General features: G+C 33.9%; 1 protein-coding gene across 5 annotated transcripts in view; it reads right to left on the reverse strand.

Moving 5' to 3' along the window:
* Positions 1-17153, reverse strand: part of MARCHF1 (membrane associated ring-CH-type finger 1) — an 859722-nt gene that overhangs the window by 459005 nt on the left and 383564 nt on the right. For 4 of the 5 annotated variants that reach the window (XM_017008336.2, XM_017008335.2, XM_047415869.1 and 1 more), the window contains exon 3: positions 5199-5407. The exons of the other annotated variant lie outside the window; for it this stretch is intronic. In XM_017008336.2, the coding sequence (XP_016863825.1) occupies positions 5199-5297 (99 nt within the window). In that variant the 5' untranslated portion in view covers positions 5298-5407. The remainder of the gene's footprint in view (positions 1-5198; positions 5408-17153) is intronic. 5 annotated transcript variants of the gene reach the window in all.

Genomic DNA, 17153 nt, shown 5'->3' on the forward strand with positions numbered 1-17153 from the left:
ACTCAAGATTAAGAGGCCTTGATGAAGCCAGAATTCTATTTCAAATATTCTGAATTTTGTCCCAGTATCCTCCCTACTAAATTACTTTGACCATTATTATTTATTTTTTCCATATTTTCTGAATTTGAATAAAATGAATTCTAGTCATATTTTATAATAGCACCCAATGTATATTCCATCTGATCTTATGAATCATGGGCAGACACTGTAACAAAAAGAAAACAAAACTCCCCCCACTTAGAGGTTAGCAGGTTTGGGGGTTACATTTACTCTTTGGGGATAATAATTTGGTGTCTGAAAAAAAGATTGCTAAATGACCTGGTAATAGAAAGAGCAGTAGACTGGTAGTCAATGGCCTGCATTTTTGTCCCAAATTCACCACTAACTAGTTGTGTGACATTGGCAAACTCTTTATTCTCTATGGACTTCAATGATGGGTTGTAAATTAAAATGAATAATTTTTAAGGAACTTTCTGATTCTGGGATCCTTTGTTTCTACCAACTTTGCTTAAGTAATGTGAAAAGGTTAAGTTGTCTTAACTGTAAAGAAAAAATGTAAGACTTGAGCCCAGAGTAGCTGAATACTAATCTCAGCTCTGGCCCTGAGACTAAATATGTTTTTTTAACTTTTTAATTTTTTTACTAAAAATTTTTACTAAAAATTTTTTTTTAGTAAATTTTACTAAAAATTACTAAAAATTTATTTTACTAATAAATAAATCAGTAACTTGTCCATTATGTTCAAAAGGAAAAATATATATCACAAAAAGCCATATTTTTTCCAGGTTACTGGAATCTCTACCAAAAGAGATTCCCCAGTAACAGATCTCCAGCTACTTTGAAAAACAAGAGATGGCCCATGAGCTATCATTGGAAAGGCAAGTAGAAGATCTTAAAAGGGATATCTCAGGAAGAAAAACTAAATATTCTTTTTGGAAAAAAATGTAAAAACTGAGGTAGAGAAATATTACAAAATAATGGCAGCAGTAAAGAAAATGTACATATAAACAAAGGGGTTTGGTTTTTGTTTTCCTCCTAAATCTTTCTAAAGCATGATAGCCATGTGTGGTCAGCTTGAGAGTGAGAAGGATCAGAAGCAAATAACTCATGTTTTGTTTTTCCCTCTTAAGTCCCTCCCATCATCTAAGGTATAGACTCAGTGTGTTGTGAAAGAATATAGCAGCATGCAGCGCAGGTGCCAGAAACAGCCTTGGCCCCATCCATGCTGTATCTCTACACTTACCACTCATAGACACATTTGCTTGCAAATCCCAGGGAAGTATAAGGAATATGTGCTAGAGGTCGACTAAATACTGGAATTTATACAATTATTAGAATTTCCAGATCTAGAGTAGGAATTCAAGCTACAGCTACAGGGCTAAGAATGTGATTAATAAAATTCACTGCCCTTGTAAGAGACAGATGTCTTTTAGACCCAAATCTCGAATGTGAATTAATTACAGCATAGTAAGTGGTGTTCACATATCTAAAAAAGAAGAATGAATTAATAGAAGCAAATGGTCTATTTAGAAAAGTAGGCAAATAAGATATAAAGAGGGTAAACTGTCAGATTCTGACATTCAACCAGAAAAGAAAAAGAAATCTGGAACTATGAACCATTTTGAAGAGGTATCTTCTCCCAAAGCTTTCCCGAGAATGTGGTTTTCCCAAGGTGTAGGTGAACCTAAACCATTTTATTTCCTTTATCAATTCCATTTACCAAGGAAAATCTGATTACTAATTTCCTTCCAGAACCCTCCTGGAGCTAAAACTCAAACATTCCATCACATATATACAGTCTCCAAGTGTAAATTAATTATTTTGACTACTGTATTATGTTAAATTTTCTGTAGCTTCATAATGGACCAATATCTACTCACTTCATAAGAAGTGAAGTGGTTTGTAGTAACCACTGGTTTTGCTAACAACATCTTCTGCCAGGACTGCAAGTCTAAGGCACTTCATTTTAATTGCCTAATCAATCTCCAGAGTTGGTGCCTCTGAAAGATAAACCTACATCCCTTCTCTAACCCTTAATATCAACTGTATTCAAACTGGACATAATATATTATTTTGTGTTTTGTACTTCCAGGGTTATTAACCAAACAGAGATGATTATAATATTATGGCATACAAAATATGTCAAAATATATTTTCATTATAAAGCTAGAGATAGGAGTTACTTTTTAAAATCTTAAAATATAAAAGATCTATGCTGTTAAAAAATCAACAAAAGAATTTTTAGAAATATTTTCTTGATATCCTTAACAGGATGGATCTTCTGTATTTTAACTATGATTGACAGTTTTCTAATTCTTTTCTTCATATGGCTTAAGAAATCTGATATCAAGTTAATACATTAGTTAAGAGTCACTAAATTTTGAATGAAGTTAAATTACATTAAATTCAAATGAGTTTTTAATTTACTAATTTAAATTAATTACAACTAAATTCTTAATTCTGAAATTAGATCATTTTCCTAATGCACATAGGCATGCTTTGGATAACTTTAGGACAAGCAAGAACATTAAGGAAACTTCAAGAAAGGATGTTTCTCATTTGCTCATCAGGAAATGTCCATATATGTACAAGATGTTTTACTTTTCTTTAGAAAGCATCGCCACTTGAAATTACAGAAATCATTGATTCTTCTTGCTGTCCAAAACACAGATGTATGCTGTTTAATTTATCCACTTTAAAGGCATTTACAATTCTTTTAGACTATTTAGTTAGCTTATCAAAACAAGTTATTCGGCGGCCTACAAGATTGACTAATATGTTTTAAACATACTTTTAAAATAAAACTTTTAACTACATCCTATAGAAAACCAAGAAGCATTTGAAACATTATAAGTGCTTCCCTTTCTGATATTCAGAACTGTATCTCTTTTTAGAAATTATACGAAGGCTCAGAGTTTCCTTTCCTTTTCTCCTAATTAACCTCTTCTTTTTTTTTTTTTTTTTTTTTTTTTTTTTTTGAGATGGAGTGTCTCGCTCTGTCGCCCAGGCTGGAGTGCAGTGGCGCGATCTCGGCTCACTGCAAGCTCCGCCTCCCGGGTTCACGCCATTCTCCTGCCTCAGCCTCCTGAGTAGCTGGGACCACAGGTGCCCACCACCACACCCGGCTAATTTTCTGTATTTTTAGTAGAGACAGGGTTTCACCGAGTTAGACCAGGATGGTCTCGATCTCCTGACCTTGTGATCCGCCCGCCTCGGCCTCCCAAAGTGCTGGGATTACAGGCGTGAGCCACGGCACCCGGCCAACTTCTTCTTTCTTTAAGAGTGCCCACTAACTCCCATTGTGACACATTAGAGTGTTTTTTGACCCTGAAAGAAACAAAGCTATACATGTTTTAATAATTCAAGATATTTGTGAAGATGTTTAAAGATGTGGATTAATACCCATATCTTGATAACAATTGTGGCTAATTTTACTTAACAAAGAATAATTTCATTATTATTTCTAACATGAATAAAAAACATTTGTTTGCTCTTAAAAATTATATAAGCCATCTCAATTTATCTAATTCAGGCCAAGTAGACATCTACAGAAAGAGATTTCTGGCGAAGACCTGGAATTGACACAATGTTGTTTTCTTTTCCAAATATTACTCAGATGCTGATCATTCCAGATACCAAACAAATTTGCCACCCAATATGTTCACATAAAGTTTTCTTCAACATTATCTTAAATTTATCCAGAAATTTATACTGTGAGTAAGCAATGTATAACTTTTATGAATCTTGCTTTTGGCATTTCTATACCTATTTGCAGAATTGATCAGTGTACCCCACCTTCCCCACCTAACACCAACAAACTTAAGAGAAACCTGTTTCATATTCTAATAATCGCATTTCCAAGTCAAAGGAAACAGACACTCTAGAGAATGTGCCTGAGCATTCTGGGCTGCTGAAGTTTCTTTACAAAGATTTTTAATTCTCAGAAATTCCAGAAATATTTGATGTGTTTATGATGAGGCAATTACTAATGTAAAAGTATCTCTTGCACTAACTTAGAGAAATCTCCCAAAGTTATCTACAAATTCTAGCCACATCAAGAACTCATTGCCATTCAATGACATTTTCAAAATCAGTTCAAATAAAGTAGAAAGAGGCTGCAAATATATTTTCTCATTTGAAGATGTACTCAAATTTATTAGTCTTTTCCTTTCAAACACTCCTTGACACTACACTCCCATTTCCTTTATTTTATTTGCTTTATTTTTTGTCTGCTGCTCCCTCTGTCTCCAGCAGCTATTCTTGAGGGAAAAAAAAGGTTAACATGTAGAACTGGAGGTAGACAAAGCCCATCTCCTACAAAGCTAAGGACACCTGAGGACTAGAAAATAGTTATGTTAAAGAGACAAGAAGATTACAGTTTCCGGCATTCTATCTCAAGCTCCCTTTTAGGGGAACACGACAACATTTATGATATTTCCACTCAATATCCTTGACTGTGTTGAGTTCAATCCCTTTCTTAAAAACCTTTGAAATAAGTTTCCAGCATATGATCTTTCAAGCAGTTTAACTTAGAACAACTGCCACTAAATTTCCCTGCAAAATAAAGGCTCACCGTAAGAAGTTGAAAATTATAACCTGTGTGAAGTTTCAAAGAAAGCTTTTTGTCATGAGGAACAAAATATAAATGTACAGATATCAAACAACAGTCATACACAACCATGCACTGCCAACGAATGAAGTGCAAATAGATCTTATGAGGCTCTAACTCATGTTATGTATTCAGTGTCATAACTGGCTTCTCTGTCCCTTTGTTAAGACAGTTATATTCAAATATCCTAGTTTAATGGGCAGTGAGGAAAACCAGCCAGCATCACCAGTTCCACTATGTGAAAATGTACCACAGCAATGTCCAGAGCCAACCCAAAACAGCCGGTTGTAACCCACAAGCCATAAAAGTCAAAAGTGACTCCATAGATTGTTTAGAAAAAGAGGCAAAAGTTTCCATCTGTCAAGTAGGAAGTGTCCCTATGGATCTGGCTCCTCTCTTCATTCACAAAATAGAGGTGAAGTTTAATATGTCCCTGCCAGTTATAAGTAATTCTCTTCCAATCTACTGTTACACACTGACAGCTGGGATCCAGCTGCTCTGAAGCCCTTGCCATGTCCCACGGTGCAGAGAGCAGTGTTGGCAACAGTGGCTTGGCTCTCTGATTTTATTAAATTAAACCTCCTCTTACCTCGACTTCCTTGTTCTTCTCTTTGTTTCTGCCCATTGAATTTCTCCCATTGCTGGCAGTCTCCCGTGCTGGGATTACGGAAATCTGGTGGAGGGGCATATTGGCAGGGCTGCAGGTGGCCAATCCCTGATTGGATGCCTTATCTCTTCACTCGCCCTGAGTAGCCCACCTGCACAATTGTTCATATCCTTGCTTTGCCAAGCTCAGGTCTAAACAAAGAGGGGAAAAATAGTGTTTGAGACACTGTGCAGCAGAGGCCAGAGTCTTCTGGTCAAAATGTTAAACACATTGAAAGGGGAGTTAAAAGAAATGCAAGAACAAATAATCCAGGGAGTACTGCATTCTCCAAAGGATGATTTACTGCAAGTCATAATTGAACTGCTTTGTCACTGGAGCACCCCCTCTCCCCTAAGAGCATTGTGGGAGACAATTCAATTTCTATGGTACCTAATAACTGTCATGGAAACCAAGGAAACCTAGGTCTCACAGGCCCTTATTAGCAACTGCTTCCTTTAATGGCACAGACTCCCACATTTGCAGCGGCTGCCGCTTTGTTTTTGTTTATCCTGATTCCCCAGGAGTCCACTAAGCACCCAGAGACACTGCATCTTGCTGACTACGTAAATAAGCAGACGGCTGAAAAGCTTAGTGTCCTATTTGGAGCCAAATCTCTTCCTTGAGAAGCGCGGCTAGCTGGCTGTGTCCTTCATGCATCTACAATAATCTGCTTAGGTCAAAGGATCTGCCCTGAAGTGAAGAGCATCGCATGAGATCGAATGAGGTGTTGAGAGAGAGAGAGAGAGAGAGAGAGAGAAAAGAAGAGAGACCTGGAGCAATTGCAGATGTCTTTTTCTGGATGGTTGTAAAGAGAGTTAACCATTCAGTGCACCTTTCTTACTAAAACATCAGCAACAGGAGTCAGAAGGCATCAGTTAGTCTGAAGCATAGAGCTCTATACTACTCATTTCAGCTTTATTGCAACTTCTGTGCTCCCCGAAATATATGTTTGAATTACTAGCAGCTTCTCCTTGCTTTTCCATAAAGGAAACAGACTTTACTATTACTGTCCTCTCAAAAGTTATACAATTTGGAAGAAGTAAATGGTTAATCAGAACTTCTGCTTTTTAAATTTAAAAAAAATTCCTTTTAAAACATCCTACTCTCTCAGTGAAGTAAATTCTTAAATTACATTAACTTTGTAAAAATAACTTTCCCGCATGATTATTCCCTCTTTTTCAGGGTGTTTGGCACTCTGTCTTTAAAAGGACAGAATTTTCTTTTCTCATTTTGAGATGTACATTGTATATTTTCTGCATATTGTGAATAGATCAGATCTCCCACTGTTTTTTGTGTTTGTTCACCCCAAATGAAGCATAATTCAGAAAGTTCCTCGTTTTTATATACTCAAGTACTGCTTATAAGTTAGAATTTTTCCCTAATCACAGAGATCTTCAAAGTGATTTCTAGTTGCAATTCATCTCTACCTGTCTTTGTATTATACAGCAATAATATCATTTCCATTATGACATTACAATTTGTTTAAACTCAGGATAGAGATAAAATGTGAAAAAAGATCTGTACTGCTGTTGGCAATAAAGCCAAAAACAATATATGTAAAGACTGAATTAACATCTTCAATTTAAATATTCACACTGAAATAAACATTTCAATGTATTTACAACTTTGGTCCAAATATGTTTTCATTTCAACCTAAATTAGCCACCTGCCCATGGTTCTAACCCCTACCATCCATCAAGATCAGCTAGGGAGATTTTATAATGCATAGATCCCTAACAGACACATTTTCAGGAGGGCTGCAGTGGAGACAAGAAGGGTACAGTTCTGAACTGGACAGTTAAAAAAAAAAATTACAGATGTTTCTGATACAAACCAATTTTGAGAACCATTCCAGTGCATCACGAAAATAACCTCAGCACAATAAGCTCATTAAAGTTCATATAGAGACAAATCTCTTGCTTAAAATAGTTTTAAAAAATAGGTGCCTCAAACCTGGCATTTATTCATCATCATACTTAAGCTTACAGAATGTATTTGTGACATACAGGAGCTTTAATGAAAGGACTAAAAAGCCAGCCTTTGCCAAAAATGCCATGTCTACAGTTAAAACTAATAATTCTTAAATTTTCTGTAGCTTAATGTTCACATCTGTGGCCTGTGTGAGAAGTTCCTTAATTTAATAATTTTTAATCCCTCTATCTAGAAGGACTGTCTTAATTAAGAGAATGCTGGAAATAGAAGTCTGTAAATCTAACAGTGTGTGACAAATACTAAAATGTAAATTATGAAACTCTTTAGAAAAGTAATATTGTCAGTGTTTAGGTCCATGAAATGTCCTCTGAAAAGCCAAGGCAGCTTTCCAGATAAATTCAGACTTCAGTAGTTTTGCTTAAAATATTCATTAAAGTTATAGGAAAGAAGATTTTTAGCTTGAATTAACTAAATGGCTGTCTTAATCCTTTACCTCATTATGCATATGAGGTTATCCTTTGTTTGCTATGAGATTTTTCAGAAATCAGATTTTAATTTTGAGTTAATTTGATTTATGTGGTTGAGTTATTTCAATTAGCTTTCTTTTATCCTAACATTTAAAATATAAATTGAATTTCTGGAAAAGTGAATTTATTTCTTAGAGTATTTTACATGGTAAACAAGAAGAGGTTTGTTATATCTTTTTAAGCAAATGTTTTAGCAATAACTTAAGAAAAATTAATAATCAGTCTGTTTAATAAATATTTATCTAACATTGTATTAGGTATTGCCACAAATTGAACTTTTAAAATTTTCCAACTGTATCAGGGGAAAAACATGCTTTTAATACTTTGTACATTCTAATACTTCGCTGCCTTGGAACACTGAATACACATCAGCTAATATCAATGTCTTGCACTTACCTAATACCTTTCCTCAAGCAGCTTCCATAGTGCTCTGCCAACTAGAAACAATCAGAAGTCTCTGGGGTGACTCATTATGTAACAAACTCAAACTAAGAAAATTGTTGTGGAATGCATTTCTCCTATGGGAGCATAGTTCATCTTGTATAGTAATTAAACCCTGTGGAGTCACAAGGAGCAATGGACCCAGCAACTGAGCACTGACAGACACTGGCCAGAATAATCGTGGATACAGGAATCATTCAGCTCAGCTGCATCTACATATGTGATCACATTATGTGATCCAGATTTTTAAACTTGATTTTTGTGGAAACTATGGACTATAATTACTGTTGAAATCATCCTGGAACATTCACTCTTCACTGACTACTTTTTCCATATACATGTCTAAATTGTATTTGTTTTGCTTCTACATTCTGGCTTCCAGCCCTCGGCTCTGGGGACAGGTTCCTCATTCCCACCTCTGGCTCCAAAATTTGGCATTTTTACATATTAACTCTAATACTCAGACCTCAGTTTTCCCCCAAGAGATTCTGATTTGGTGCTGTTCCTTATTCTCAGTGGCCTAGGTTGTCTCTAGTTTAAAAGGTAAACAAAGAAAAATATGCATCTCTGGTAGCATAAGACCAGCTTGATCTTTGTCAGCTGCAAAAAAAAAAAAAAAAAAAAAAAAAAAGGCCTCCAAAGCATTTATTTTGATCGCAATTAATCAAGAAAGGAAACCCAGTGTTGGGCCAAGACAAGGAACCAAGTAAACATCTGCTAACACATTAAATGGATAGACTGAAAATTCAATTCGATAAACATTTGTTAAGCATCTTCTGTGTTTTCTGAACCATGCTAGGAATTAATGGGCAGCAGGTAATGTATAAAATTATGTGGCATAATATCTGTAATCAAAGAGTTCGTTGTATCATTAGGGAAATAAGATTTAAGGAGGTAAGTCAATTGAAAAAATATGTGGCATATGGCAATTAATATCTGAAAGACAATATAGAATAATGAAAGTAAATATCAAAGAAGCTTTGAGCAACAATAAATAATATTAGATCTAAATACATAAAGAAAGTCTTAAGGACGAATTGAGGCCTCTATTGTGCTTGGTAGACATAAGGTGATTAAATCATTTCAAGGCGTAGAGATGGTGTGAGATTGGCATATGAGAGTTCAGGATGCTATTTTAAATAACATAGAAAATTTGTTTAAGATTATTAATTGGTTTAGGCCATATATAGTTATTAGGATCACCACTTGAAAGGAGAGAGGAAGGAAACCAGACCCCAGACCTGGCAGAAAGAAAAATCCTATGAGCAATATAAAATTTTATTAATTATAAAATATAAAATTACATTACTTATAAAATATAAAATTATATTTTATATTTATATTTATAAAATTATAAATGCATTGATACAAGACAGAGAAGTAATAAAGATAAGAACCTTAAGTTATTTCTGAAAATAGAAACAAGGTACACTGAGTTGGAAAAAGAATATTTCACTACAAATCCCTGGTGAAAGGGAGGAAACCTGGATTGAATGGGTTTTCAAAGTGTCATTGCAAAGAGTGTCAAATGGCCACCGTCAAAGATTACTGGGAAGAACATATGGATAAGTTATCATGGCACAAAGAATTTATGTTATCTTGTAAAGGAGACGGAGAAGGAACTTGAATTTAAAGGTATTGTTACTGGGGAAATTATGAAGCATACACTTATGTATTAATTGGAGAGTTAGGGAACAACCCATGCTAGCAAAACAAGCTTAGTGGAAATAATGAGAGGGAGTATAAAACGGAAAAATAATTAACATTTCTGGTTATGTGTTTATAAAAAAATCTACAATGTAATAAAGCATTTCTAAAATGCTTGTATGTTTATGGGTTTTGTCTGATTATTGGAATCCAATTGTGACTACACTTAGTATGTGCAAGTATCTTGTGTAATTACAACATCTTTTTAATGTAAGTATTCTGTCTCTGAAGACCTTTCAGAAGCGACTGAATGATCAGCCTTCAATACCAAATACAGTATAATGGATCAGATGAATTCTTAAGATCTTTGATTCTATTGTCTTGAAATTATTTTTCCTAATTTTGGCCACATATATTTTCTGAAGTTGAGCAGATTACAACATAGCCAAGACATTCATTTCAGTCTGTTGGAGAATCAATAGCAGTCACCACAATCACATAATATGTGTGATAATTACAGCATGCCCTGAAGAGTCAGTTATACTAGTTTATATGATTTATATTATGCTCATGACAAAAGAACATCATCACAAACTGAGTCTTTCAAATAACACTATGGGACTGATCTTTGCTCCTTTCTAATTTGTTGAGAGACTAAAAAGAATCATTTTATTAAATCCTTTTTTAAAAAGGGTAACATGTTAGAAGTAATCAAAATATCTAAGGAAGGTACAGGGGTATTAATAATTAGCTTGTGAATATAATTTAGGATTAAATAAAATCAAATTTCTATATTCTATTTTACTTTGTTGAAAAGACATATGGAATGAAAATTTTATTTAAAAACAAGATTTATTTTGGCAAATAAAGTTAGCCTCAGTCTTACTCTCCAAGTAAATAAATGTACAAGCTAATCTTTGTTAATGTTCTCTGTAGCTTTCAAAATATTAGTAAATCTAGCTGAACAAGGAGCAAAATAGAAAAAACTGTTTCGGAGGGCCAGTATGTATTTCTTCACTTATCTTCAGAAAATGTAAAGCAGTCATCCCAAAAGAGGGAACTGGAATCATGGCGGAAGGTCTTTAATTACTGCTTGCCTCAGAATTGGGTCAGAACCTGTCCACTCTTATCGCTGAAGAATGATAGAGAAAAAGTGTGTGTGTGTGTGTGTGTGTGTGTGTGTGTGTGTGTGTGTGTGAGTGTGGTGGGGAGGAAGCATTCTCACACAGGGCTGTAAGGCTCCTTCCCCTTCCATATTCTGAAACTTCACTGTCAGTATCTCTGGGGTCCTCAGAAACCCTGGTATTCTCAAGCCTAGTGGCACAGTTTCCTAAGCCATTTCATGAGGAGATATACCTAATGCTAAATGACAAGTTAATGGGTGCAGCACACCAACATGGTACATGTATACATATGTAACAAACCTGCATGTTGTGCACATGCACCCTAAAACTTAAAGTATAATAATAATAACATTTAAAAAAAAGAAAGAAGTAGTAGTTTCCTCTTATAAGTGTCAAAATTCTGACTTAATGCATCAGAGAATTAAAAACTAAATTTAACAAAGTGTTTCCTGTATGATATTAAGGTTCAAGCAAAGGAGTCCTGGACCTAACAGTCCTAATCAAGCACACATACACACACACACACACACACACACACACACACACACACACACACACACACACACAAAACAAATGCATTATTTTGGATTCCTAAAGTTTGTCTAGATGTAGAGATACATGTATCTGCTCAAATATTATTTTTATGCCTTGTAATGAAATATCTTACTAGTTTTTTCAAGGAAAAACACCCTCAAACTGTGATTTTCTATTTTACACAGAAGACTTCTGTGACCAAATGTGTAGGTTTTTTTCCCCACATACCAAACAAACAAGCAATTCTGCAGCAGACACCAGCCGGGTGTCACCCAAATTCAGTTCTACCTGGAGATAGTATCAGATCCCACAGGTTCAGGGCTCAGTCTCACCAGACTGTCCCCCAACCTTCAGACACCAGTCACAAGTCCAGACTTCTGGAACTTCTGACTTCAAATTGGGGTTCCCACAACCCCCTCCTTAGGTTCAATGAGTTTGCTAGAGAGGCTCACAGAACTCAGGGAAATATTCAGGTGTATGGGTTTATTACAGAGGATACAGATGAAGAGATGCATAGAGCAAAACATGTGAGAAAGGGTGCCAAGTTTACATGTATCCCCCACCCAGGAACCTCCACATGTTCAGCCATCCATAAGTTCTCTGTATCCAGTCCTTCTGGGTTTTTATGATATGATTGATTAAACTATTGGCTGATGTAATCAATTTAACTTTCACCCTCTCCCTCCTCCTTGGAGGAGGGGTTGGGCTAAAAGTCCCAACCATCTGCAATCCTGCTTGGTGTCTCTGAGTGACCAGCCTTCATCCTGAAGCTACACAGGGGCTGCCAGCCATCAGTCAACTCATTAGTATGCAAAAAAGACATCACTTTGGCAATTCTAAGGATTTTAGGAGTTGTATGCTAGGAAAGGGGTCAAAGACCAAATATGTATTTCACAATATCACAAGTCTTTATTCAGTTTAAGGGGAAAATGGCAACATGGAATTTTATATTTTAAAGGCAAATTATAAAGCACCCTACCATTTGACGACCAGTTTAAGTCCTGGAAAACTGAGTGTTTTGACATCATTGAAGGCTAGTAGATGGCAGAAACAATGTAGAAAAATCTCCTGATCCAGAGACCCCTGTTCTTTCATCAATTTCTGACCCTATTTGATGAGTATAAAGCATAGGTATGTTTTAAGTAAAAACCAAAAATCAACAATCTAATAAGTACATTTATTTACATGTAATTTATTTACTTTTTACTACTGGGAATAGTTCTGAAAAGAATATATTTTATAATATAATTCTGAATTACATGCATAGCCTCTTTGGAAACTATATTTTACTAAGTTTTTTATATCTGAAAGATCCAATTTTTTTATTACTGAAGGAATAGTTAAGTTTGAGGGATGGCTGTTTTTTCTCATCATATTTTTATTCTCGTGGTTCACTGATTATGAAAAATCACAGGTATAATTAATCTAACATTAGTAATGTTATTATTTTTTGGAATAAATGATGCTTATGACAAATAATTTTTATAGTATAATTAGTAACGTGGAAAGTGCTAGAAGAAATAATGGGTCAAAGTTCAGAAAGTCAATATATATTCTTCTTTCTATATCTGGTAGATTTTAATAATGAAAGAACTATTACTATAAAATTATAATTTGTATTTTCTGCTGCTGAATATGCTATATTCCTAAAGTTCCAAAACAATCAGCAGACTTACGAAATTTGGTTAAAATAATTGTCCTGGTAACTACGTATGGGCATAGCCAATATGTCATTTTTTGTGTTCTTGGAAGAATAAAGATATAATTAGTTGACTATATAAATATTGATTTTCATTAGTTGTTTATAGATACGCATTCATATATTTTTAGCCAAATCTGATTCAACCTAAAAACGGCATCAATCTTCCCCACCAATTCCTACAGAATCCCCTATAGATATTATCTTCAATTTAGAATGGTCTTATTAGGTCTACATATATCTATGGTATTTCACCCAGAACTCTTCTCAGTCAAATGTAAAAGTTATTAGAGTATTTGTTAAATTGGGAAATCTAACAAACATACATGCACACAGGGAGAACACCATGTGAAGACTGGAGTTACTCTCCCACAAATCAAGGAACTACCAGAAGCTGCGTCCTAAAAGATGCTTCCCTAGTGCTTTCAGAGTGAGCATGGCTATATCAACACTTTGATCTGGACTTCTAGCCTCCAGAACCATGACAATATATTTCTATTGTTTAAGCCATGCAGTTTTTGGTACTTTGTTACAGCAGTCTTAGGAAACTAAAACACTTCCACAGACAGGTCCATTGATTCATTGTTATTGTTAACCCTCTGCATAACACTCAGATGATAGCAATGGGCATCAAATCCAAGAGAAACAGCCAAGATAGGAAGAGAAGACAGAGGATGATGCAGTGAGGGCCAAGAGCAGAGAAAAGCAAAGCCTCAGAGTAGTCTGAGAATGAAGAATATGAACCAGTGTTTGCATTTTATAAGTGTTACCCTACATGTTGGTTACAGGGGGCTTGAAGGAGCTGTTTGAGGCTAAAAAACAGTATGGGAGCAGGTGGTAAATGATCAAAGGCAAATGGTAATCCAGGTGTATTTTGAAACACTAGAACATATATTTCCTAAGTCTTGAACATAGTCCAACAGTTAGAGGTCCATCTGAGTCAGTATAAGAAAGATAATTATGACAATTTGAGCTCTGTAAAAATAAACAAGGGCTACTCTCGTAGTACCAAACTTTAATGTTCAAGTGGGAGATATACAACTACTTACTGGGACAATTAATAAATTAATTCAAAAATATTTTTAAAGGCTGGGTTCAATAATTTCTGAAGTACCCTTTAATTTGGGGTTTCTGTGACATTAGATATTGTGTTTACTATTTGTACATAGGTTGTTTCTTGTAAAGAAATGGTTCCTTATATAGAGAAACCTTGTATAGTAATATATTTTGCTAAAGAGCAGTCCATATGAATAGACAAGGAGTATGCTGCTGTTGATGGTTTACCATAAAGCAGAAACACTGAAGAAAAAGGTAAAGGAGATAATAGTTGTTCAATCTTATCAAAGAAGAAGACTTAAATAATCAGCTTGTGGAAAAAAAAGTAAGATATAATGGTCTAGCTATTGACTATTTGATTTTCCATTACACATTTGTTATCTATAATTTAAAGTAATTGCCTTAAATACACACACACACACACACACACACACACACACGTAGATTCTACATGCAAAATGTCTAAAAAAAGATATAAGTAACAAAAGAGATTCTTAATATAGGTACTAAAAATTGTTTTATTACCCTAAGAAAATTTCACAGAGAAAAAAAAATTCAATAAAAAGGTGAGAGGGCATAAAATAAATTATAAAATATAATAAAATATTTGAAAATAAGCTATTGAATATTTAAAAGTACCATTACAACTACTCTATAAGAATAAATCAGAAGACTTATTAGATATTATATCATTTTTATAGACTATTCTCTATCTATACTAGGCCTCTAAAGTCTCATACATTAGAGCATTGTAACAGTCATTCAGATTTTTAAAAACTTTAAACAATATTAATAATCATATAGATCTTTCAATACTCTAAAGCAGTAAAGTTCTGGTGTTTTTATATTATTTTATATAAATAGCATTAATACTCATGTTAATTAATATTAACACAGGAGTACTATGTTAATATTTTGATTAAATAAATGAGATAATGGCTGTTGAGCTAATTAGCATATTCATTACCTCATACACTTATTTGTTGTAAGGAAAATTAAAATCTACTCTCAGCAATTTTCAAGAATACAACATATTGTTATTAACTATAGTCACCATTGTGTACAAAATAGATATCTTCTATCTAACTAAAATTTTATATCCTTTGACCAACATCTCCACAACTTTACCCTCCTATCCTCGGTAACCATCATTCTACTCTCTGCTTCTATGAGTTCAACTTTGTTAGATTTCACATACAAATGAGATTATGCATCATTTATCTTAATGTTCTCCAGCTTCATCTGTGATGTTGCAAATGACAGGAATTTTTTCTACTTTTAAAGGCTGAATCATCATTCCATTGTCTGTATTTACCACATTTTCTTTATTCATCCACTGATGGACACTTAGGTTGATTCTATATCTTAACTATTGTGAATAGTGCTGTAATAAACATAGAAGTGCAGATATCTCTTAGACATAGTGATTTCATTTCCTTTGGATATATAGCAAATAGATTGCTAGATCATATGGTAGTTACAGTTTTCAATTTTTAAGGACCATCCATTCTGTTTTTCCTAGGACTGCACTAATTTACATTTCCAGTAACAGTATACAAGGGTTCCCTTTCCTGTACATCTTCTCCAACATGTATATTCCTTCATCTTTTTGGTAATTATCATTCTAAAAGATGTGAGGTGATCCCTCATTAGCCATTACCCAATGTATATATATTTCAAAACATGTTGTAGTTTATAAATAGATATTATTTTGGTTAAAAAAAACCGACAAAAAATGAAAATAATGCATGTAAACTCCTTGGTACATGGCTTGTCAAAGAAAAAGTACTAATTAATAGTTAACCACTCATATTTGAAGCTTAAAGTTACCTAATAAAGGCTTTAATCAATTTAAAAGTACTTAGTTTGCAAAAAAGATGGATATTAAATATTTTAAAAATAACAATTGAGTATATTTCTTGACACTCTACTTAAGAGTATTCAAACACACAGTAAAACTGGGTATCTTTTATGTAAAGAGAATTATTTCCACTAGTTGATTAAATATAAAGATGCTTATCAAACAGCACTTTTCAAAAAATAAGAGTTATAAAAAAGCCATATACCTCACATCAAAACTGTAGTTTAAAGGATGCAATTTTTCATAATGGGAGTGTTACAGTACCATTATAAATTTGAATTATTGTATTGAAGAAAATAATAATGGCAACATTAATTGCTATTTATTGAGCCAACTCATATCTGCCAAATAATGTAGTAAGCATTCTACATATATATGTACATATAAATATACATATATATGTATAATTTAATTTGTTCCCCAACACAATCTTCCTAGGCATGATTATTATCTCCATTTAACAGAGAAGGAAACTAACTTGCCCAAGGTCCCACATATAGTTAATGACTGATTTATATAAGATTACATTTAACTCTGTCTGATACCAAAAAACTTAATAACAACATGTTAATAAAGAGTTCTGATGTACAGAATGCAGATCAAATATGATATTAATTGTGCGAGGTGATAATCAGATTGATCATGGATCCCTGATTACACTGCCCTTGAAATCCATGCTGCAAAGCCAAGCAGGCAATGCATGTGGTATTATTAGAATGTCCTTCTGGTTTTGATAATAATAACACTCAGATCAAGGCACTCTATAGTAATGTTTTTGCTATCATAAGTTTCTATACTACTTGGCCATTTTCCCAAGAATAAGTAGTCAATAGAGTACTAATAGGTCAAAAATATAAAACATTAACTTTAAAATAATTGAAAAAATAAATGAAACATAGATATGCTAAATAATACTTTAGGCCATATTATGATTTATTGAAATGAAAAGATAAGTGTTCAGCAAGACATTATTTCTTGAAAGTCTTAACAGATGGTAGTTGCCAGGGATGCCAGAAAACAAAATTAATTCACTACCCTCAAATCTGTAGGTTTTGGATGGAAAATTCAATAAAATAT

Source organism: Homo sapiens, chromosome 4 (genome assembly GCF_000001405.40).
Source record: "Homo sapiens chromosome 4, GRCh38.p14 Primary Assembly".
NCBI lineage: Eukaryota > Metazoa > Chordata > Mammalia > Primates > Hominidae > Homo > Homo sapiens.